At 40.1% G+C, this 25,951-nt stretch overlaps 1 protein-coding gene across 6 annotated transcripts in view; it reads right to left on the bottom strand.

The window, feature by feature from the left end:
* The window catches only part of ZNF658 (zinc finger protein 658), a 31,417-nt gene extending 7,499 nt beyond the window's left edge, over window positions 1-23,918 (bottom strand). Inside the window, exons 1-5 of one of the 6 annotated variants that reach the window (NR_134255.1) lie at window positions 21,067-21,282; window positions 16,279-16,405; window positions 15,909-16,004; window positions 5,285-6,838; window positions 306-421 (exon numbers count right to left, since the gene is read on the bottom strand). Coding sequence is in view for 5 of the 6 variants with exons in the window: in NM_001317916.2 (NP_001304845.1) it covers window positions 3,897-6,838; window positions 15,909-16,004; window positions 16,279-16,405; window positions 21,067-21,081 (3,180 nt within the window). In the remaining variant the exon portion in view is untranslated. Of the gene's footprint in view, window positions 1-305; window positions 422-3,216; window positions 6,839-15,908; window positions 16,005-16,278; window positions 16,406-21,066; window positions 21,283-21,585; window positions 21,735-23,563 lie in introns of those variants that run through there. The other 5 variants (NM_001317916.2, NM_033160.7, XM_047423212.1 and 2 more) reach the window with 5 other exon arrangements.
* Between the last annotated feature and the right edge of the window lie 2,033 nt (window positions 23,919-25,951).

Raw genomic sequence — 25,951 nt, 5'->3', positions numbered from 1 at the left:
CCTGACTTTTAATTGAGGTGTTTAAACCATTTACATTTAATATGATTATTTATATAGTTAGGTTTGAGTCGATAATTTTGATTTTTGTTCTTTTTTCTTCTTTTCTTCCATTTGGATCAAACATTTTTATTACATTTCATCTTCCTTTCTGGTTCATTAACTATGTAAATCAAAAGTAAAATTCTAAGCCCATCAACCAATTGAATGGACCCCTCTTCTCAAACAAGGGCATTCCTAAGTTAACCTGGAAAATCAGTTCAGGCCATGATGGGTAGTAGAGGTCAGACATGCCACACTATACTCACGTTCCTTTGGGATTCAGGCACAGCTGACCAGCATTTAACATTAAAACAGAGACCTTACGACTGATGAAACAGACTCTTGGTAGCCATTAAGATACCAACATGACAGACAGCAAGCCCTAAAAGAAATAAAAATATTTTACCTCAAAAGATATTTCTTTTCTCTCCTTCTTCTTCTTTTTCTTTGAGATGAAGTCTCCCTCTGTTGCCCAGGCTGGAGTGCAGTGGCATGATCTTGGCTCAGTCACCACAACCTCCGTCTCCCAGGTTCAAGTGATTCTCCTGCCTCAGCCTCTTGAATAGCTGGGATTACAGGTGCCCGCCACCATTCCTGGCTTATTTTTTTGTATTTTTTGTAGAGACGTGGTTTTGCCATGTTGGCCAGGTTGGTCTCAAACTCCTGACCTCAAGTGATCTACCTGCTTCAGCCTCCCAAAGTGCTAGGATTATAGGCATGAGCTAACGTGCCTGGCTAAATTTCTTAAACATATTTTGAAATGGCCCTGCAAAGCTGTCTCTTGTGGGAAAATCTACCTTCTACAGAAAATCTCCTTTTATTTCCAGGTCTTCTTCCTGATCCGGGAGAGAATTAACTGAGTTTGGTACCTTTTTAAGTCTGATAAAAAACATTTACAATCTATTCTTTCTGAAGCCTGCTACCTGGAGGCTTTATCTGCATAATAAAAACCTTGGTCTCCACAACCCCTTATTTTAACCCTTCTATTAATTCCAGGGCTTTAGATAAAAGCTTTCAACCAATTGCCAATCAGGAAATCTTTTAATCCACTTATGACTTGCAGGCCACAACCCCCCCACTGCCCCTTCCTCCCCCTTCACATTGCTCCATGTGATGGTTAATATTGAGTGTCAACTTGATTGGAATGAAGGGTGCGAAGTGTTGTTCCTGGATGTATCTGTGAGGATGTTGCCAAAGACGACTGACATTTGAATCAGTGGACTAGAAGAGGCAGACCCACCCTCTATCTGGGTGGGCACCATCTAATCAGCTGCCAGCACAGCTAAAATAAAGCAGGCAGGAGAATGTGGAAGGACTAGACTGGCTGAGTGTTCTGGCCTTCATCTTTCTCCCATGCTGTATGCTTCCTGGCTTTGAACATTGGACTCCAAGTTCTTCGGCTTTTGGACTTTTGGACTTACACCAGTGGTTTGCCAGGGGCTCTTGGGCCTTCAGCCACAGACTGAAGGCTGCACTGTTGGCTTCCCTATTTTTGAGATTTGGGAACTCAGACTGGCTTCCTTGCTCCTCAGCTTGCAGATGGCCTATTTTGGGACTTCACCTTGTGACAGTGTATACTCCTTAATAAACTCCCTTTCACATATAAATTTATCCTATTAGTCCTGTCCCACTAGAGAACCCTAATACACCCCACCTTCCCAGACCTAACCAGTGTATGTCTTACATGTACTGATTCATGTCTTATACCTCCATAAAACATGGAAATTCAAGCTGTAGCCAGACCACCTTGGGCAAATGTTCTCAGGACCTCCTAAGGCTATGTCATGGGTATGTCCTTAACCTTGGCTAAATAAACTTCTGAATTGATTGAGACTTGTCTCTGGTATTTTTTGGCTTAAAATTATAATTCTTTATTTTGCTAATTTTGTGTTTGCTGTGGGGTAATAGTATATGTCTTAAACTTATCACAATCTAGCTTCAAGTGAATTATACCATTTCACATATACTATTCAAACCTTACAATAGTATACCTGCATTTCTCCCCTCTCAGTCTTTATGCTTTTTTGTCATATACTTTATTTGTATATACATATGTTGCAATAACAACACATTGTTATCATTCAGTTTAACCAATTATCTTTAAAAGAAATTTACATGAGGGGAGGTTCCAAGATGGCCAAATAGGAAGAGCTCCAGTCTACAGCTCCCAGCGTGAGTGACGCAGAAGATGAGTGATTTCTGCATTTCCATCTGAGGTACCAGGTTCATCTCACTGGGGCTTGTTGGACAGTGGGTGCAGCCCATGGAGCATGAGCCAAAGCAGGGCAGGGCATTGCCTCACCCGGGAAGCAGAAGGGGCCAGGGAATTCCCTTTCCTAGCCAAGGGTAGCCCTGACAGACAGTACCTGGAAAATCAGGACACTCCAACCCTAATACTGTGCTTTTCCAATGGCCTTAGCAAATGGCACAGCAGGAGATTATATCCTGTGCCTGGCTTGGAGGGTCCCATGCCCACGGAGCCTTGCTCGCTGCTAGCACAGCAGTGTGAGATCAAACTGCAAGGTGGCAGCAAGGCTGGGGGAGGGGTGTCTGCCATTGCTGAGGCTTGAGTACATAAACAAAGAGGCCAGGAAGCTCGAACTGGGTGGAGCCCACCACAGATCAAGGAGGCCTGCCTGCCTCTGTAGACTGCACCTCTAGGGGCAGAGCATAGCTGAACAAAAGGCAGCAGAAACTTCTGCAGACTTAAATGTCCCTGTCCGACAGCTTTGAAGAGAGTAGTGGTTCTCCCAGTATGGAGCTGGAGATCTGAGAATGGACAGACTGCCTCCTCAAGTGGGTCCCTGACCCACGAGTAGCCTAACTGGGAGACACCTCCCAGTAGGGGCCGACTGACACCTCATACAGCCTAGTACCCCTCTGAGACGAAGCTTCCAGAGGAAGGATCAGGCAGCAACATTTGCCATTCTGCAATCGATTAGCAATAACAAACTTCTCCACATTTATTCACATTCTCCACAGAATTCAAATTATTCCATTTTTAACTTCACATTCTACAGTGAGTTTTTCTATAGGTAAATATTTTCTTATATATGTTCTATAAAATTTTTGATATTACAAAACAGAAGCTTGGTACATCAGTTCTAGGTGAATATTTTATCTCCAATTCTAAAACTGACATATTTCCTCAGAAAAAAATACCTAGGAAAAATGTCATTTATTCAAAATATGAAATTTTATTATAATTGATGTTTAATGCAATTCACTTTACGAAGGTTTTTGTGGTTTTCCCTAAAATTTCTGTTTTAATGAAGGCTCCTGATCATCCTGGATGTCGACAAGTTTTCTTCTTCATGTGACGTCTCTGATGCACAATAAACTGATTAGTTTTTCTAAAACTGATTATATTCATAGGGTTTCATCTCACTCTAACATAAAGTTTAAGCTAAACTACGTCCATTTAACTAATAAGCCAAATTTGTAAGAGCTTAACAGACTATAAACTTAACTCTTGCTTTAAAGCAACAAAAACAAAACCCTGATGAAGACCTGGAAGTGAATTGTTCGTTTTTCAGACTCTAGCTTCCTTGACCTTGTGCTCTATGGTTTTGAACACACAGGACCCAAGTTTGCTGCAGAAATAACCTCCAAATCCATCTTATGAACCAGGAAGACTGTGAGGGTTTTTCTTTTTTTTTTTTAAGGGCCAAGGGTAAATGTAATATTTATCATTAGCACCACATCCCATGGTCAGCCCCACCTGAATAAACGGCATATTGGGATTTTTCCACAAACTATGAGCCTAATGAAAAAGGAAATGGATAAGGGAAACAAGTTCCCAGCCTATGTCACATGAGTTTCTGCACTACGTGTTATGTGGTAAGGTATGCATTCCCTCAGGACTTCCCAAATCCATTACATGCTAGGGTTTTCTCTCTGGTATGCATTCTGGTGTGATGTACCCTAAGAGCTGCCTTACGGACAAAAGTTTTCCCACATTCATCACATTCATAGGGTTTCTCCCCTGTGTGAATTCTCTGGTGTACTCTGAGAGTTGAATTTTGGGCAAAAGCTTTTCCGCATTCATTACACTCATAGGGTTTCTCCCCTGTGTGAATTCTCTGGTGTGCACTAAGGTGTGATTTCTGGGAGAACGTTTTCCCACAATCATTACATTCATAGGATTTCTCCCCTGTGTGAATTCTTTGATGTACTCTGAGGGTTGAATTATGGGCAAATGGCTTCCCACATACATTACATTCGTAGGGTTTCTCCCCCGTATGAACTCTCTGATGTGCACTAACATATGACTTCTCAGAGAAGGTTTTCCCACATTCACTGCATTCATAGGGTTTCTCCCCTGAGCGAGTTCTAAGATGTGCTCTGAGATGTGATGTCTTGGAGAAAGTCTTCCCACAGTCATTACATTCATAGGGTTTCTCCCCTGTGTGAATTCTGTGATGTGCCCTGAGGGCTGAATTATCAGCAAACGTTTTCCCACATTCATTACACTCATAGGGTTTTTCCCCAGTATGAATTCTCTGATGTGCACAGAGGTGTGTTCTTTGGGAGAAAGTTTTCCCACATTGGTTACATTCATAGGGTTTCTCCCCTGTGTGAATTCTTTGATGCACTATGAGGGCTGCCTTATAGACAAAAGTTTTCCCACATACGTTACATTCATACGGTTTTTCCCCTGTGTGAATTCTCTCATGTCCACTGAGGTATGATTTCTGGGAGAAAGTTTTCCCACACTTGCTACATTCATAGGGTTTCTCCCCTGTGTGAATTCTCCGATGTGTACTGAGGCGTGTCTTCTGGAAAAAAGTTTTTCCACATTCACTACATTCATAGAGTTTCTCCCCTGTGTGGATATTCTGATGTGCTCTAAGGGCTGAATTATGGGCAAATGTTTTCTCACATTCATTACATTCATAGGGTTTCTCCCCCGTGTGAATTCTCTGATGTATTTTGAGGGCTGAATTATGGGCAAAAGTTTTCTCACAGTCACTACATTCATAGGGTTTTCTACCTGTGTGAATTCTCTGATGTGCTCTCAGGGCTGAATTGTAGGTGAAAGATCTCCCACATTCATTACATTCATAGGGTTTCTCCCCTGTGTGAATTCTTTGATGTGCCTTGAGAACAGAAATATGGGCAAAAGACCTTCCACATTCATTACATTCATAAGGTTTCTCCCCCGTGTGAATTCTATGATGTGCTCTGAGGGCTGAATTATGGGCAAAAGTTTTCTCACAGTCACTGCATTCATAGGGCTTCTCACCTGTGTGAATTCTTTGATGTGCTCTCAGGGCTGAGTTATAGGTAAAAGATTTCCCACAGTCATTACATTCATAGGGTTTCTCCCCTGTGTGAACTCTCTGATGTACACTGAGGTGTGTCTTGTGAGAGAAAGTTTTCTCACATTCAACACATTCATAGGGTTTTTCACCTGTGTGAATTCTCTGATGTGCTCTGAGATGTGATGTCTTGGAGAAAGTTTTCCCACATTCAATACATTCATAGGGTTTCTCCCCCATGAGAATTCTCTGATGTCCTTTGAGATGTGATGTCTTCCCATATTCACTGCCACCACAGAGTTCCATCTCTGCATCTGTTTTCTGGTGTCCTATGAGGGGTGACTTGTAAGATCTCCCACAGCCATTGTTATCACAAGGTTTCTCTTTTGTGTGAATTCTCAGATGTTTACTGAGGTTTGAATTCTGACAGAAAGCTTTCCCACATTCATTACATTCATAAAGTTTGAATCCCACATAAGTTCCAGGATGCTGAATAGGATGTGAACTTGAACAAAAGGATTTTGCACATTCCTCATATTGGTAAGTTTTCTCTCCTGAGTGGGGCCTCTGATGCTGAATGAGGTGTGCTTTCCGGTAAAAGGATTTTCTGCATTTCCCATGTTCATCAGAAAGGTAGAATTTATCTTCTGTGTGAATTCTCTGATGTGCTGTAAAGTCTAATTTCTGGTAGAGGGCATCTGTACATTCATTATGTTCACCAAATTTATCTCCAGCTTGTGTTTTCTGATGTACTATATGGGCTGAGCTCTGGCTAAAATTTTCTTCACATTTATTGCTTTCAAAAGCACTCCATCCTGTAATAGTTCTCTGAGATTGAGTGAGGGGTGACTTCCTACTGAAATTAATCCCCCTTTCATTACACTCATAGTGTGTCATAGCCATGTGAACTTTATTGTATTCAACAGCGGTGGTTTTGTCACAGGATGTCCCATATTCATTAAGATCAGAGCATTTCCCCCTTGTGTCAGTTCTCATGTGGTTAAATAAAGTGATTTTATCAAAGTTTTTTCTAAATTCATCATCCTTACAGGACTTTTCTCCTGTTAGAAAACTCTGAGGTGTAATACAAATTGTCTTATCATATAAACCTTGTCCAGATCCATCACATTCAAAAGATTCCTCCAAAGTTTGAAATTTCCAATGCTGATCTTTCTTATAACTGAAAGCTTTAGCATTTTCACCATGTTCATAAGATTTCTCTTCAGCATGAGCTTTCTCATGCTTAATATCAAGCTGCAGTTTCTCACACACATTCATGTATTCAGTCTTCTTTCTTGAATATTTTCTTTCACTTATAATTAATTGAGAAGCAACTGGCAAATTCATTCTGTGTGAGTCACATTTACAGGATATTTTTTCTGAAAGCTCTGGAGCTATTTCCAGATTAAATGGTTTTTCTAAAACTTTCTGTCCTTCTTTACTCAATGTTTTGTCAGCATCACTGATGAATATTTCTTGCCACAGAGGTTTTTCTTGTTTTTCCCGGATCCCTTTGATGTGATCAACTTTAAAATACCCTAAAATGAGAAAAATTGAAAATATAGTATAAATCTTACATTTCTCATGGAGAAGAACTTATACTCATATTTTGATTTTGGTTTTGGTTTTTGAAATAGGGTATTGCTCTGTCACCCAGGCTGGAGTGCAGTGGCATGATCATAGCTCACTGCAGCCTTGAACTCCTAGGCTCAAGTGATCCTCCCACTTCAGCCTCCCTACTAGATGGGACTACAGGGATATGCCACCATGTCCTGTTAATTTTTTTTATATTTAGTGGAGAGAGGGTCTTGCTACATTGCCCAGGCTGATCTTAAACTCCTGAGCTCAAGCGATCCTCCTGCCTTGACCTCCCAAAGTGCTGGGATTGCAGGCATGAGCCACTGTGCCCGGCCCCTGTTTTGTTATGTATTTTATTCTATTGTTTCTGGTCATGTTTCCAAATATTAAATACTTCATGCACACAGACAGACTCTCTCCTCATCCATGCTGTTTATAAAACAGGTATTATTTCCGGGGCCAGTCAAGGTGGAGTAGTAACCCCTTTCCTCCCACATCTTCCCTCTTACAATTAAAAATCCCTACAGAAAAAACAAAACAACAAAAAAAGATTAACAAATATACAAATATACGAATACTACAAAATGGAAAGAAAGTGGACTTCAGGACTTAAGAAATGACACAGTATGGAATTCCAAGGCTATTCTATATCCTAGACTGGGTGCTGAAGAAACCTACAATCCTGCACTGACAGGCACAGACAAAAAGAGCACAAAGAAAAGCCTGCTTCTTCCAGCCAGAGGTCTGAGAAAATGGTGGTCTAACAGAACAGGAAACACTTTTGATGTTTTCTCATGCTCAGGCCAAACCAAAATGATACAATCCTGTGGTTCCATGGAGGCTGAGCAGGGAGCTAATGTTCCCTGCCGTAGATACACAGGATCTGCATGCTCTTATATGTTTTCTTCCATGAGCCATGAAGAATCCTGAGAAAGTTCCATTCTTAGGATATGCTGGGAGATGGTCACAGCAGCCACTACCAAAATTCTGCCTAGAACCAAATTATTATCTAATTTATGGAACAAATGTCTTAATCTGCAAGGGCAAGAATATAATAAGTTGTTTTAGGGCACTGACAGGAACTCATAGCAGCTATGGGAAGGAAACAAGAAAAAAAGAAGCACAGAAGTAAGAGGAGAGGCAGGAATACACAGTAGACCCAATACTCAAGCAGAAGAGATAAGATAAAGTAGCACTTGCAATAACCATGGCTTCAAACCTGAAGACACAATGCATTCAACAGCTGAATTCACATTCTTCTGAAATGCACATGGAACAATCATCAAAACAGACTATATTCTAGACTGTAAGACAAACCTTCAGAAATATAGAAGAAATAAATTATACAGAGGATGATCTTGGGCCACAGAGAAATTATACCAGAAATCAGTAAACACAAATTTATCTGGAGAAATACAAAAGAACTGTAAGTTACACATTCCTAATTAACCCATGGGTGAAAGAATTCTCAAATGAGATATTTTGAAGTGAATGTAAACAAAACAACTTAGAATACAGAAATTTGTGGATACAGCTAAGGCAGTACACAGAGATAAATTTGGGGCTTAAATTTTTTTGGCCAGACGCGGTGGCTCACGCCTGTAATCCCATCACTTTGAGAGGCTGAGGTGTGTGGATCACAAGGTCAGGAGTTTGAGACCAGCCTGACCAACATGGTGAAACCCCTTCTCTACTAAAAATACAAAAGTTAGCCGAGTGTGGTGGTGCACACCTGTAATCCCAGCTACTCAGGAGGCTGGGGCAGGAGAATTGCTTGAACTCGGGATGTGGAGGTGCAGTGAGCCACGGTACTCCAGCCTGGGTGACAGAGTGAGACTCTGTCTTTAAAAAAATTATATTTGAAAAGAAAGATCTCCAGTCAGATGCTTGTTTCCCCCTTAGGAAACTAGATAAAGACAGGACATTAAGTTGAAAGAAAGTAGAAGGATGACAAAAAAGTCAAACCAAAAGCTTAATTTTTTAAAAAGTTTTTTTAATGATAAAAACCATCAGAGAGAAAAAAAGAGAAGACACAAATTACCAATACCAAAAATTCAAGAGAGGACTAACTACTAACAGACATTCAAGAGATAATAAAACAACAATAACAATAACTCTGTCTTAGTTCGGGCTACTACAACAAATTACCATAGACTAAATGGCTTAAAGAATAAACATTTATTTTTCCCAGTGCAGGAGACTGGAAGTCTGAGATTAGGGTGCCAACATGACTGTGTTCTTGTGAAGACCTCTTCTGGTTTACAGACCACTCACTTCTTGTTATATCCTTACATGGTGAAAAGTGAAGTAGCTAGCTCTGACACCGTTTTGTAACAGCATTCTAGTCTCTCTCTTTTTTTTTTTTTTAACTATAAAAGCAAACTAACTTTATTTGGACAATCTAAGTGGAAAGAAGAGGCAGGTGAATGTGTATTGTAACCACAGAGAATATATTCTATGTCAAATGTTAAAACATAATGGCAGAATAATCTAAAAGACTTTTTTTCTAAAGGAGCTGTCAGTGAAAAGGATATTTACGACAACATATTAACTTACTTCATTATGATGGAGGATATGTTAACTGAATGTCTAATTTACTCAAATTTTAACTATGTTTGCATATGTAAATAAGGCTTAAGAATGTAATGAAATCTTCCTCTATATATGTGTATGTGTGTGTGTGTGTGTGTGTGTGTGTGTGTGTGTGTGTGCAATTCCAAAGAACAACTTCTGGACCAAATAGTTTTAACTAGTAAATTTTACCAAACATCCAAGGAAGAAATAATACCAATCCTACACAATGTCTTCTAGAAAATAAAAGATGGAATATTTCCCAAATCATTTTATAAGGCCTGCCTCATCCTCATAGCAAGATTAGGCAAATACTATTCAAGAAAAGAAGCTTTCAGACCAATATCTCCCATAACATAAATGCAAAAATGTCCCAAAAAGTACACTGAAATATATAAACATAGATAATGTATCAGTGAAATTTACCTCAAAAATGCCAAACAGTTACTACACTGCAATACTATAAAAACTATAGTTTTTATGCTGCATTTCAGGTCAATGTAATCTCCTATCATTAGTCTGAAGAACTAAAATCACACACTACATCAATGCCAAAAATTTTAACAAAATTCAAAATCCATTTATTAATTTAATAAAAGTAATCTATAAAAAGCCTATAACTAACATTATACTCAAGAGAGACTGAATGTCTTCCCTCTAAGATCAGGAAAAAGACAAAGATGCCCACTACCAGTAGCTTTACACAAGATTGCACTGGAAGGACCAGCCAGTGCAAAAAGGTAAGAATAAAAACACAAAGATACAGAGTAAATTTACACAGAAAGTTTAAAATCAAAAAAGTTCCTTGAACTAATAAGTGTTTTTAGCAAGGGCAGAATCTAAGGCCAATATACAAATCTATGCCTACAAACATACAATGATGAATTGGAATTTTAAATCACAGAAACAATATTACAGCACCAAAACAAAATTAAAAACAAAAATTAAAAAAGCCTCGTTATCTGTGTTCTAAAAACTAAAAGACATTGATGAAAGAAATCAAAGAAACAGTAAATAAATCAGTAGGGATATTTTGTGTATGGACTGGAAGACTGTACGTTGTTAAGATGTCAATTCTCCTAAGTTCTACAGATTCAATGCCACTCCAGTTTAAATGCCAACATGTTTCCTTTGTAAAGATTATGAACCTCATTTAAAAATTTATACACAAGATGAAAACTGGAGAAGTACTTGACTTCAAAACTTAATAAGCTAGAGTAATCAAGTTAATGTGGTATTGGCATAAGGAAAGACATGTAGATGAATGAAAAGGAATATTAAACTACAAAAATAGACCCCCAAATGTACAGCCATCTGTTTTCTAAGAAAGGTGGAAATGCTGTTCAGTGGAGAAGTAACAGTCTTTTCAAAAAGTGATGCTGGAATAACTGGACTCCCTGTTCCAAAAACATTTAACTTGACACATAACTCATACTTTCTATAGAATTTAACACAAAATGGATTATCAACTAAGTGTAAAAACTGAAGCTGTAAAATTTCTAGAAGAAAATAGGATTCCTAAATCTGTTACTTTGAGTTTCAAGGTTTCTAGATAGAACAACAAAAGCAGGTTCTGTAAAAGAAAACTAGTAAGTTGGACTTTATCAAAATTAATATTCAGTTTTAGTGAGCCTCCTCTGAAGTTATACTAGCGGGAGTGAGGTGCAGCATCACTGCCTGCTACGTGGGGAAGGAAGTCCAGTTCCCCACTGATCTGACCCCCTGGGGGTGGAAGAGGAGGCTTCTACTTTTTTTTTTTTTTCCTTCCTTTTGAGACAGTTTCTCTCGTCACCCAGGCTGGAATGGAGTGGCGCAATCTTGGCTCACTGCAACCTCTGCCTCCCGAGTTCAAGCGATTCTCCTGCCTCAGCCTCCTGAGTACCTGGGATTACAGGCACCTGCCACCACGCCTGGCTAATTTTTGTACTTTTGGTAGAGATGGGGTTTTGCAACGTTGGTCAGGCTGGTCTTGAATTCCTGACCTCAGGTGATCCACCCGCCTCGGCCTCCCAAAATGCTAGGATTACAGGTGTGAGCCACCGTGCCTAGCTGAGGCTTCTACATTAACCCTGGGCATGGGTGAAAGATCAGGAGCCCCACAAGGACTCTGATAACACTAACCACCTTGTATTTTGTCAGGTGCCAAGACCCCTAGTGCATCTTCATTCTTCTTTCCACCCTTCAGTAGTGTGATCTCAGCTCACCATAACCTCCACCTCCCAGATTCAAGCAATTCTCGTGCCTCAGCCTCCCAAGCAGCTGGGATTACAGGCACGAGCCACCATGATTGGCTAATTTTTTTGTATTTTTAGTAGAGACAGGGTTTTGCCATGTTGGCTAGGCTCGTTAAACTCCTGGCCTCAAGTGGTCTGCCTGCCTCGGCCTCCCAAGGTTCTGAGATTACAAGTGTGAGCCACTGTGCCTGGCTAGATATTGCATTCTTTACAAACTGAAGGTTTGTGGCAACCCTGAGTTGGGCAAGTCTGTTGGTGCCATTTTTCCAACAGCAAGTGCTCACTTTGTGTTTGACTCAGCAGTTTTTAGCAAACAAATATTTTAATTAAGGCATGCATACTGTTTTTTAGACATGTTATTGCACATCTAAAAGACTAAAGTATAGTGTAAACATAAAACTTTTATAAGCCCTAGGAAAACAAACATTGTGTGTAACTTGCTTTATTGTGAAATTTGCTTCATTGTAGTGGTCTGGAACAGAAACTGCAATATCTCTGAGGCATGCTTCTATATACAGATATTTAGCTGCACTTAGTGGGTAGAGTAGAAAGGAATACATTTACTCCATCCTTCCCCTGGGTAATGCATTCTGTATTTTATTAAATCCTTCCCTAAGAAGAGTCATTAACCTATTCTATATGATCTTCTAGAATATTTCTACTTTTGTTTTGATAATTAGGTCTTAAGCCAACTGAATTCGACTTTTTGTTTTGTTTTGATCTATATGGATACCTCAAGATCCTTTCCTCATTGTTCTCCAGTGTCATCTATCTAAGATGTCTATCAAGTATATGTTTTTTCTTTTGTCTTTTTTTTTTTTTTTTTTGAGATGGGGTCTTGCTCTGTCGCCCAGGCTGGAGTGCAGTGGTGCAATCTCGGCTCAATGCAAGCTCTGCCTCCTGGGTTCACGCCATTCTCCTGCCTCAGCTTCCCAAGTAGCTGGGACTACAGGCACCTGCCATCACGCCTGGCTGATTTTTTTGTATTTTCAGTAGAGACGGGTCTCCATCTCCTGACCTTGTGATCCACCCACCTTGGCCTCCCAAAGTGCTGGGATTACAGGCATGAGCCACCACGCCTGGCCTCATGTTTTTTTCTTTAACTTTCTACTCTGTTTCACTAATTTACTAAATCATCCCACCCCCCAGCTCCATGCTACTTAGCTACACAGCACTTTACATAAAGCCTCAATATCTGGTAGAGCAGCAAATCCTCCTGTATCACTCGTTTTTATGAATGGGATTGTGTTTGGTATAGCGTTATCTCTTTACAGATGTATCCTGACTTGAATTTATTATATAGGTGTTTCCTCTCTTTTTTCTTTGATAGGGTTAGCTGAAGTTTAATTCATTTTATTTTTCTTGTAAGAAACATTCCATTTCTGTTTTCCATTTTATTTTTAATTTTACTTTTAAATTCTTCTGTTTTCACTATTGTATTTTTGATGCTGTTCTTGCTTAATTAATGAGACTACGAACTTCCTTCTGTCCACTACTTTAGCTATACCTGATGGTTTCTAACTTGCAGTTACAATTATTTCATTACAGAAATCAAATCCAAAATTGCATTACACTTTTTTGTATATTGTTTAAAAGAGATACTAAAATTTTTTCAAGTGGATTTTTTTCATTTTATTATTAATTTCTGGATTTACCAAACTAGGTTCAGAGAATACTGTTTGTGTTTATTCTAATTTGTTAGATTTATTGAGGTTTTCTCTTTAGACTAATAGTATACTCTATTTTATCATTATTCAATTAAAACATGAAAGTTTTGTTTTTTGCATTAGCATACATATACACAAATGTATGGTTCACTTTAATACAAATGTAATTTATAGCCTCTCTAGGCATATTTATTTAATGTCCACTGTACCTACTGTTTAATCAGATGAGACATTATGATGTCCTAATTCTAATGAGTTTTAAGTTCTTAGAACTCCATTATTTTATGTTTTAGAAACATTGATATTATATTATTTGGTGCAGTCATTCAAATCCTTAAAGGTTTTCATTTCCCTGTGCTCTTGAATGAGAGCTTTTCCTACTTTAATGAATTTCTTGCCTGAATTCAAATCTGAATGATATAGAACATGAAATCTACATTATTTTATCTTTATTGACTCAACAACTTTACTGATTTTTTTTTTTTTTTTAATTTTTTGGGACTGAGTCTCGCTCTTTTGCCCAGGCCGGAGTGCAGTGGTGCTATCTCGGCTCACTGCAAGCTCTGCCTCCTGGGTTCACGCCATTCTCCTGCCTCAGCCTCCCAAGTAGCTGAGACTACAGGTGCCTGGCTAATTTTCTGTATTTTTAGTAGAGACAGGGTTTCACCGTGTTAGCCAGGATGGTCTCCATCTCCTGACCTCGTGATCTGTCTGCCTTGGCCTCCCAAAGTGCTGGGATTACAGGCATGAGCCACCACGCCTGGCCCAACTTTACTGATCTTTTATAATGATCTTTCTATGTTACTTATTTAGGGATATCCTTTTTAGACAATCAATATGATCCAATAATTTACATTTAGTGACTCAGCAACATACTTGATCTAAATTATGTCACTCTTTATGTGATGCTATTTGTTGGTATGGCTTCAAACAAAAACCTTAATTGTGCTTCACTTCTAATAAGATGATTTTACTTTTTTATTCTAAAAATGACATTGAAAACTATAACTTTTTAAGATTTCTGGAATCATTTATTCGTACAAAGCCTAATAGGCATATAAAAAGATGCCTGATATCATTGGTGACCAGGGAAATTGTTATAGACTTATTTGTGTCCTTCCCAAATTCTTATCTTGAAGCCCTAACCCCCAGTGTAACTGTATTTGCAGACAAGGCCTTCAAGGAGGCAAAAAGGGTAAAAATGAGGTCACAGGGAAGGACCCTAATCCAGTAGTACTGATATCTTTATAAGAAGCGGAAGAAACACCAGAGTATTCTCTCTCTCCCACTGCATGTGCACAGAGGAAAGGCCACATGAACACACAGCAAGAAAGTGGCTGTCTTCAAGCCAGGAAGAGACGCTTCACCAGAAACCAACTTATTAGTACTTTCATTTTAGACTCCCAGCCTCCAGAATCATGAGAATTTCTGTTGTTTAAACTACCCAGCCTATGGTATTTTATTATGATAGCCCTAGCTGACTAATACAGAAATGTACATCAAAACCACAGTGAGATATCACTTCACATCCACTGGGGTGGCTAGAATCAAAAAGTCAAACAATAACAAGCACTGGTGAGGATGTGGAGAAATCAGAACCCCCATATGCTGTTGTTAGGAACGGAAAAATGCTGCATTTAGAAAAACAGTCTGGTGGTTCCTCAAACAGATAAAGACACAGATACCATATGACCCAGCAGTTTCACTCCTAGGAATATACACAAGAGAAATAAAACCAATTGTCCATGCAGAAACCTGTAAATAAATGTTTATATTAGCATTATTTGTAGGTGGAATCCCAAATATCTACTGACTGATAAATGGACAAACAGGTGGTACATCCATACAACGGGACATTATTTGGCCATAAAAAGAATGAAACATGTATTTTATATCAGTTGTAAACATTATGCTAGGCAAAATAAACCAATCACAAAAGACCACATATATGATCCAATTTATACAAAATGTCTAAAATAGGCATATTTATAGACACAGAAGTAGACTGTGGTTACCTAGGGCTGCAGAGGGCAGGGGGGATGGGACAGTGATAACTAAAGGGTACAGGTATGTTTGAGGTGATGAAAATTAACTGTGGTGATGTCTGCATATACAGTCATCCCCTGGTATCCATGGGGAATTGGTTCCAGGATTCTCTTAAATACCAAAATCCACAAATGCCCAAGTCCTTGATACAAAATGGCATAGTATTTGCATATAACCTATGCACATCCTCTTGTATACTTTAAATCATCACCATATTAATTATGCTACCTAATACAATGTAAATGCCATGTACATAGTTGTTATACTATATTGTTCAGGGAATAGTGACAGGAAAAAAATGTCTATACATGTTGAATGAAAGTGCAATATTTCTTCCCTGAATAGTTTTGATCTGTGGTTGCTTGAAGTCACTGACCTGTACACTTTAAAGGAGTGAATTGTAGGCATGTGAATTATATCTCAATAAAGCTGTTCCAAAAAAACTTTCAAAGGTGCTCTCCCTCTAAAGACTAAGTACCCCCAGGGGGCTCCTTCTGTTAATGCCCACTCACCTGGGTACCTCTGGTTCAGGAATTCATCTTCTAAAGACCATGGCTCTTCTCCTTTCTCCAACTTGGAGATCACCTTAGGTTTAGTAATGCAATATCCTGTAAACAAAATAATTGACATGGACCAGATTCACAGGCTTTTGGATTTCCAAAGGGAAAAAAAGATATGGCAGCAAAGCATTAACTGAGGGTGTTCATTTGAAATTTTTAATGGGAAAGTAATGACATGTTGCTTTTGTTTCTGTAAAGGTTTCAACTACTTCAAACCTTTTAATCCAAAGCCCTTTAATCTCTATAAAGGGTCCATGTGTTTTGATACTTTTTAAAAAGGGACATATATTCTCGAGAGAGCCCCATGGTAAGCTATGCTCACCCACTGAGATGAGGTGGCTGTAGTTCTCCAGCATCACATCTCTGTACAGCGTCCTCTCGACAGGGCCCAGGTGCTGCCACTCCTCCCGGGTGAATTCCACAGTCACGTCCTGGAATGACACTGATGCCTGTAACAACATTTATCACAACAAATATAACAATGGTTTGTTCAAGGGTTCAGAATTGGGTGACACAGAAAATATCTTTGAGAGCTACTACTAAAATGAATGGTTATAAAGGCCTATTTTAGACCCAAAATTGTCTTAACATATGTAACTCAAAACATTTTTTAACTTGCCATAATTTCTCTATGTATTTATGAATTCTAGGTTTTTGTAAGACAAAAAAAAATCAATGTAAAACAACTTCCTTCCAACCACCTCCTTCCTTCTTCCACATCTCCGCAAATTATCCGGGGTAGTCTCTAGGACATTCACACCCTCCCTGGACATCATCACTGTAAATTCTGGGGGCTAAGGAAGAGATATATGTGAAGTCTGGAGATACCCTGACCAAACTTTATATAGGGTAGAGCAGGTGAAGAGCAGAGAACAGCTATAATAGTTGTAACCAAAGAGACTGGCACAAAAGAACACTTCCTACACTGAGGTCACAGCAATGGATGTAAGAATAGGGATATAATCACAGAAGAGAAGCAACACCCATTTAATACAATACTTTCTTGTACAGCTACTCAATCTAGCTGTATGAGAAGCTCCTTTTAAAAAAATTTTGTTTTTAATTGACAGAAAGACAAATATTTCAAATTATAGTCACTTATATGTGGAACCTAAAAAGTTCAAACTCATAGATGTAGACAGTAGAATGGTGGTTACCAGAGGCTGGGGGTGAGGGGTGAGGAATGGGGAAGCATTGGTCCAAGGGCACAGAGTTTCAGTTACATAAGAGGAATAGTTTTTGAGCTATTGCACAGGATGATGACTAGAATGAAAAATAAAGTAATGTATATTTCAAAATAAGCAGCTGCTTGGTGGTGCCAAAACTGGTATCTGGGAAAGAAGAAAACGTGTTAGAAGATTCAGTGAGAGTTCTGTTCATGTTGATACGTAGCTAGAACTGTTCGTTCAACCAGGATACATATGATTTTAGAGCACAGAAGGTAAGATGGGGATGAAGATAAGCATTTAGGAGTTACTAGCAATTTAGGTGGTGAGTAAAATTAGCAGAGACAGACAGCTCCTTGAGCACACAGGGATTGAAGAAAGAAAAGAACCAAAAACAACACCTGAGGAACCACAAAGCAGAAAAAGTACAGGCCACAAAGCCAGAGATGTTTTCCAAAAAATAATAACAGAATCAGGAGGGGGCAGAGTCTTAGAAATTGAGAAAAGAGAAAGTTTCCACAACAAGAAGACTTCAAATTCAAATTAGCAAGTGATGACGGTGAAGATACTGAAGATCCAAGAAAATTCCTTCTTCCATAAAAGCAATGAGAAACCGGCAAAAACTGCAGAATCAACTTTTTCAGAACTCTAGAAGCTACCAAAGGCTTACAGCAATCTGCGGAACATTGATATGAGAAAAACAGCTGCATCACAGTAAGAACAATGATCTTGTGTCATTTCAACCTGCCCTATATCCATCCCTCTCACTCCCACTCGGCATTAGCTTTGAGAAACATCTGAAACAACAGGAGAATCCAGCGGCCTGGTATCCACTGGATGAGGCAGACTGGGTCACAGGTTGGCCAAAGCCTCACTCCCAGAAAATCCTCATTATCTGACCTAATCTGTGGTTCCCTGGAAGAGCTGACTTGAAAGGCTGATTGAATTAAGTCAGAGTTCCCCAGTGTGAAAAGCCTTATTCTTGAAGGCATTTGCCAAAAACATTCAAAGGCAATTGTTTAACTCAGCAGCTAACTGAGGCGGTGGATAACACCTGACATAAATAACAGCCTAATTGAAAAGCTTTTTAGAAAGGAAAAACTGGAGAATGGGATGTTCATAAAGCTTTTGAAAAGCTCCTATAGATTCTAGAGACTCTAGGTCACCTACATGCATAGAGCTGAGCATATGCCCAGGGCTGTGATTATGCTCTGGAAAGATGTGAGAAGGCCCTAAACTGTCACCCTGGGTGACCCTAAGGTTTGGGGTGAACTGGAAGTGAAGGAAGTGAAGGTTAACATGGGGTTATAAATTGCCTGGATGTCTGTTGAAGGAATGCCCCAGCACTCATGAGGCTCTTTGGCAAAGACTGAGAGCCTTACTTAAGGTTTCAGGCATTTAAGAAAATTTCTGCAGACTTCTGCAGCCACACATGACAATAAACACAGGCTCTACTGAATCAATTAAAAAGTCACTAGACAAATTTCAACAACAACTCCTGCAAATCAAGAAAGTTTTCTAGAGTTGCCACCTTATTTAAAATGTATAGTTTTCAACAAAAAATGCAAAACAAGAAAAGAAACAACAAGTAAGACCCATATGCAGGAAAAAAGTACAATCAATAGAAACTACTCACGAGGAAGCAGGCATTGGACTTAAACAGACGATGACTTTAAATCAACTATGTTACATATGGTCAAAGACTTAGAGGAAATGATATGTAAGGACCAAAGGAAAGTATTAGAATAATATCTCACCAGATAAAGGATATAAATAAACAGAAACTATAAAAAGGGACCAAATAGAAACTTTAAAGTTGGAAAGTACAAAACTAAAACAAATATTTTACCAAAAACACCTGTTCAACAGCAGGTCTGAACGGGTAGAATGAAGCAACTGGACAACATGCCCACTGAGATTATGCAGTGAGAAACAGAAGGAAAAATAACAAGAAATGAACAGTTGGACAGCATCAAGCTTATCAACATATGCCAAATAGACTAACAGAATAGAGACAGAAAGGGTCTAAAACAATATCAGAAGTAGTAATGGCCAAAAAACCCCACAAATCTGAAATAAATGATAAATCTACATGCCCAAAATGCTTCACAAACTTTAAGTAGGATAAACTTGGAGAAAGAAATCCACACTCGCTGGGAGCAGTGGCTCACACCTGTAATCTCAACACTTTAGGAGGTAGGCAGATCACTTGAGGCCAAGAGTTCAAGACCAGCCTGGCCAACATGGTAAAACCCCATCTCTACTAAAAATACTAAAATTAGCCAGACATGGTGGTGAATGTCTGGAATCCCAGCTACTTAGGAGGCTGAGGCACAAGGATTGCTTGAACCCGGAAGGTGGAGGTTACAGTGAGCCGAGATCATGCCACTGCACTCCAGCCTGGGTGACAGAGCGAGAGACTGTCTCAAAAAAAAAAAAAAAAAAAAAAAAAGAAAAGAAAAAGAGAAAAGAAAAAAGAAAAGATAAATCCACACCTGGACATGAGAATCAGAGTGTTAAAAAGACAGACAATCGGAAAGCTGTAACAGAGAAACAAGTCATCATATTACAGGCTGATTTATAATGAGAAACTATGGAGGACAGAGGGCAATGGGATGACATATTCAAAGTGCTGAAACAAAGACTGTCAACCAATAACCTCTATATCCAGGAAAAATAGAGAAACTGGAATTTTCCCAGGTAAACAAAACCTGAGATAATTCATCACAGGCAAGACTGCCTATAAGAAATAATAAAGGGAATGGTTCAGCAAAACTATGGAGATAGAGGAGTAGGTTAGTGGTTGTTTGGGGCTCAGAGGGAATCAAGTGGTAGTTACAGTGTACACAGCTTCTTTCTAAGGGAATAAAAATGTTCTAAAATTGACTGCAGTGATATTAGTACATTATCTGAGAATGTACTAAAAAAATCACTGAATTCTACACTTTAAATGGGTACATGGTAAGATACATGAATTGAATCTCAAAAAAAGCAGTTTTAAAAAAAGAAAAAAACAAGGGAAGACAAAATCATTTGGAGACAACAGAGAAGACTAAAGAGCCAAGGACAGAAACTGAGGCTGAGCCGAGTGACAGGACAAGGAAGGTGGCTCCATGAAGACATCAGCCGGGGAAGGACCAGTGAGGGGCAAGTATCACTAACGGAAATGTTCCAGGACAGAGTGAGACATTGAGGCAAGTGCTGCGGAAAAGCCAAGCAAGTTAAGGAAAAGACCACATCCACTGGATTTGATTATACTATGGGTAGGGACACTGGAGGTCCCAGGCAAGTGGCAAGAAAAAATCAAGGCATCCCATGGAGAGTTGACGTTAAATGCTAAGTGTGGAAATATCTGAAAGAGAACAATTTTGGACCATCTGCTGAGCAACCTGAATATCATGGGTACTCAAAATATTTATGGAGAGTGATTTTAAAGACATTCAGTTGATTCATCAGAAAAATGTTAAATTCAACCCTTGCACTGGAGTACTTGAAAAATAGTACTGAACGTGTTCAAATTTAGCATTACAATTTCTACTTCTATTGAGGAAGTAATATTCTGTTATTTGGCAATTTATTAACTAAGTCACCTACTTGAAGAACAATAAATACATTTTGTTATCTTTATGTTTATATTCCATGATAAATCAGTTGGCTTTATCTTTCTCATCAATGTAAACCTTTAAGTATTGTCTGTCTGACACTCCACCATGACTGTCAATAACCTCAGAAATAAATCTGAAGCTTAATTTGGTAAATTTGTAATATCGGAGGATCTGCATCTATCCACATGCCACTTTGCTCTGCTATTCATCTGCATTTCTACATCTTCTAGGAATGTGTCTGATCCATCTCTATTTCTACTTTTCCATGTTAATGTACGGACACATAAACCCTTACAAAACCTATTGTAAAATAAACCGGTTTTTAAAAACCTAACTCACCTGAGACATGTTCATTTTCTGCTGCTCCTGGAAGAGTGTAGAGGACTGTGGAGGTTCAGCTGGGGAGGAGGAAAGAGCAGTGGGGTCATGAGAGACCTGGTCTGCCTCTCAGTTCTTACAGAGATGGTCCCTGACATGAGATGGTTCGACTTGATAATGGTTTTACTGCGACATAACCCCACTGTAATCAAGGAGCATGTAATCCTATTCATGTGCCTAAAAAAAAAAATCATCGCACTCAGCTGGAGAAAAGGATTCCCAATGCAGAATGTCCCTTTGACTCTTGAAAAGGGACAAGAAGGACCACTCAAAGATAGCCACACCTGAATATGTGCATCTCTGATACGATTATGTGCGCTTAAACTTACATTTTCACTGAGTAAAGTAATACTGTTTTTTGTTGATTTACTAATAATTATGTTGATTTATTAACAATTATGTTCCCTTTTGACTAAGAAAAAAGTAAAAATAAAACAAAGGATTAAGCAAGTTCAGGTACACAGAGATGAAGCTGTTTACCTTCATTAAAGCTAATGTCAAAGAACTACTCAGCCGGGCATGGTGGATCATGCCTGTAATCCCAGCAGTTTGGGAGGCCGAGGGGGGTGAACTGCTGGAGGCCAAGAGTTCAAGACCAGCCTGGTCAACATGGCGAAATCCTGTCTCTACTAAAAATAGAAAAAAATAAAAAATAAATAAATTTAAAAATAATTTTTTTTAAAAAAGAACTACTCAGGCTGACTTAATCAAGTTCTTACTGCCTTTACACCCAGAATTAGCACTTCCACGGAAAAAATAAAGATGGGATGTTTTATGCAAGGAATTTCAGGCCCAATATTTTTGGGCTTCCAATATAGGAAATTCTTCCTCTACTACCCGGAAAGAGGCAGCATTAGTATCACTCTAAATGCCACATGTGGTGATGAACACGGTGTGAGAGGGACTCACAATGTGGAAGAAGTGAAGGCAGAAAGGAAACTAGGCTGCCGTTTGGGATCTGGACAGCTGATTACATCTTCCCTGGATATCATGACCTAACCAGCCCTCCAGTAAAGTGTCTTTTTCCACCCAGCTTGATAGTCACTCATCCCTCTCAACCCCTGGGAATTGCCTTCTGCAAGTTAGTCCACAGCAAAGTCACACGGTCTGTGATGGCTTCTGGATGTGGCAACATCACAAAATCTGATGCATATATAGGGAGTCAACAACTGCCTCTGGGGAAGCAATCAGGACCTGCTCCTTTCTAGAATCTTCTGCCTCTGCTCTGACGCTCTAGAAGAGGTCTCGGTCATATGGGCTGTTCTTCTATGGCAGTAGTCCCTAGGACTCCCTCTTGACTGCCTCATAGGAGCTGCTTTGCTCCAGAGGGGCTGGGACTTAGGCCTGAGAAACAAACTCAATTGAAACCTTCACCTAATACCCTAAACCTGACTCTTGAGATTCACTAGAAATGTGCTATCCAGCACTGCAGCCATCAGCCACATAGAACCATTGAACACCTGAAGTTTGGCCAGTGCTACAAGTCGAATATTTAGGAAGGAATGAGTTAAGTAAAATAAAGCAGTAAAACTGACTTTGCCTGCCTCTTCTTTTTACTGTAGCTACTGAAAAATTCTAAACTTTTTTTTCTTTTTTGAGACAGAGTCTCACTCTGTCACTCAGGCTGGAGTGCAGTGGTGCAATCTTGGCTCACTGCAGCGTCCGCCTCGGGTTCGAGCGATTCTCCTGCCTCAGCCTCCCAAGTAGCTGGGATTACAGGAGTGCACCACCACGCCCGGCTAATTTTTTTATTTTTGTAGAGATGGGCTTTTGCCATGATGGCCAGGCTGGTCTCGAACTCCTGGCCTCAAGTGATCCACTGGCCTAGGCCTCCCAAAGTGCTGGGATTACAGGCATGAGCCACCGCACCTGGCCAAAAATTCTGATTTATATTTGTGTTTTGCCTTATCTTTCTATTGGACAGCACAGCACCAGAATATCAATCTGTGCCTTTGAGGAGACAGCGGGAACAGTACAAGAGGATTCAGGAGCCTCAGCCTGAATCAGAGACCCGACAAATCGCAGAATGTATCTACCACTTGGTGAGATTCTGTCCACATTTACTTCACAATCATCTACACAGATCTGGTGACAGGCCACTCTGCATAAGCGCTCTGAAGGCTTTAGGCAGGTACTGGCAAGTCTGGGTTTCAGGCAGACAGCATGTTAGAACGAGCAGGACAGGGAGTCACATCTCTCAGCATTTGCATCTCACCTACTAGTGTGTGCCCTGGGGTACCCATCCCCATGAACTTTCGTCCATTTTTTTAAAATGGAACGTTTATACCAAAGAGGTCGTTGTGAGGGTCAGGTGAAATACCAAACGATGAGAATAAGTGTCTCATAATTGTGAGAGCAGCTTACATTTCACATAGTGACTATTACAGACACTTAACAAAATGCTTTACAGGTGACAACTTATTTAATTTTCAGAATAGGAACACGAGTTACTAGTAACCTCCTCCTGTTCGCCGTCAACCTCATCCACGCACATTTCCTCTTCCCGGCCCGCAACCCCGCGGGGCCCGGCAGCCCCTACACCTGCGGACAGGACTCGGCCTGGGCCCGCGCACTGGGCCGGGGAGGAGAGGGGAGGGCCATCCTGGGGACTCCTGAGACTGCCTGCTGCTGTCCTCCGCACACAAGCCCGCCCGTCCCCAGGTTCCTGGGCCGCGCGGAGCCCTGTCACCGACGCTCTCACCCCAGGTGCGCAGCCTCGGCTCCCGCGCAGACCTAAAGACTCGGACACCGTGTCCCTTTCAGGCCCGGGAGGGCAGACGGCAGGAGGTGGGGCTGGGTTTACACATGCGCAGAGCGAGCCCCGAAACCCCATTCCCAAAGTGCTGCGCGGTAGGCGCGTTAACATTGAAAACTACAGTAACTACAGTTCCCGTAAGCCCGTGCGTCCGAAGGAAGTACTATAATTTTTTCTGCTGCTTTGACCGGCTGGGAGGGACCTTCGGAGCCCAGGGATTTCCCAAATTCCCGGAGGTTGTCAGCATGACCACAAACTGCGAAGTGTGGTTCTTGATGCGATCCTGGTTGGAGAAAAAAGCACCTTAAACAGACATTAACAATTGGGGAAACATGACTATCGACAGGACATTAGAAATATTAAAGAAAATTACCGTTACTTTGAGAATAATAGCTAGACGATGTAGGACATTGTTCTTATATTTAAAAGATATGTACAGAAACATTTACAATTGTATGCTTGTAGTTTAATTGAAATACTTCAAAAATTTCTCAAAACAATGAAAGCAGATATAGTAATAAGTGAAGAATTGTTAAATCTGTATAATACGTGCTTATGATGCTCATTTTACTATTTTCTACCATTCTGAGGGTCTGATTTTTTTTTTTTCATACTCAGTAAAAGACGTGTGGGGCAGTGCAGTGCAGGGGGAGTGGAGAGGCTTTACTATCCCTTCGGAAGTATGCCGTTAAATTCAAAGTTGCCAAGGGAAGTAAAAGTACATAAAAATAGCTTTATGAATAAGGTTGTGAAATCGAACAAATACTAGAAAACATAAACGAGTAACATCTGTGATCAGCAGGGTTTATGGGGGTTGGAGGAGGAAGCTAGCTGTTCAAAATACATATGTGATGCGTGAAAACACATGCAACCCAAAATATGAAAATGATTATTACACCAACCTTGCATTTTCATGAGGAAACCTTTTTTGAAACGTGTATACCCATCTGACTGTTTAAAGAATTAGGAATAGATAGGTACTATAACTTTTTTTTTAATTAATAGACTTTTCTTATTTTATTTTATTTTATTTTATTTTTTTGAGATGGGTTTTGCTCTGCCGCCCAGGCTGGAGTGCAGTGGCGCTGTCTCGGCCCACTGCAACCTCCGTCTCCGGGCTCAAGCTACTCTCCCACTTCAGCCTCCTGAGTAGCTGAGACTGCAGGTGTGGGCCACCATGCCTGGCTAATTTTTTTTTTTTCTTTCGAGACGGATTTTCACTCTTGTTGCCCAGGCTGCAGTGCAATTCTCGGCTCACCACAACCTCCGCCCCCTGGGTTCAAACGATTCTCCTGCCTCAGCCTCCCAAGTAGCTGGGATTACAGGCATGTGCCACCACGCCCAGATAATTTTTTGCATTTTTAGTAGAGACAGGGTTTCACCATGTTGGCCAAGCTGGTCTCAAACTCCTGACCTCACGTAATCCACCTTGCCTCGGCCTCCCAAAGTGCTGGGATTACAGACGTGGGCCACTGTGCCTGGCCTTTTGTATTTTTTTTTTGTAGAGATGGGGTTTCACTATGTTGCCCAGGCTGGTCTCAAACTACTGGGGTCAAGCGATCTGTCCACCTCAGCCTCCCAAAGTGCTGGGATATTAATAGATGTACAGAGCAGTTTTAGGTATACAGAAATATTGAGCAGAAAGCACAGAGTTCCCATATACCTCCGCTCATCAACCCACACACAGTTTCCCCTATTATTAATATATTGCATTAGTTTAGTACATTTAAAATACATAGTTTATATTAGCTTTCATTCTGTCTGTTCTACAGTTCTGAGTTTTGCCAAATGCATGTCTTTTAGTGCGATTTCCACCAATGCAATGATGTAATATCCACCATTACAGTATCATAAAAAATAGTTTCACTGCCTGATATGGTTTGGATTTGTGTCCCCACCCAAATCTCATGTCAAATTAAAGGAGGGGCCTGATGGGAGGCGATTGGATCATGGAACAGATTTCCCCCTTGCTGTTCTGGTGATAGTGGGTTCTCACAAGATCTGATGGTTTAAAAGTGTGTGGCACTTCCCCCTTCGTTCTCTCTTTTGCTTTGCCATGGTAAAGATGTGATTGCTTCCCCTTCACTTTCT

The sequence above is a fragment of the Homo sapiens genome, chromosome 9 (assembly GCF_000001405.40).
Source record: "Homo sapiens chromosome 9, GRCh38.p14 Primary Assembly".
Classification (NCBI taxonomy): domain Eukaryota; kingdom Metazoa; phylum Chordata; class Mammalia; order Primates; family Hominidae; genus Homo; species Homo sapiens.
Note: the sequence above shows the minus strand (reverse complement) of the source record. Positions and strands in the feature narration are given on the sequence as shown.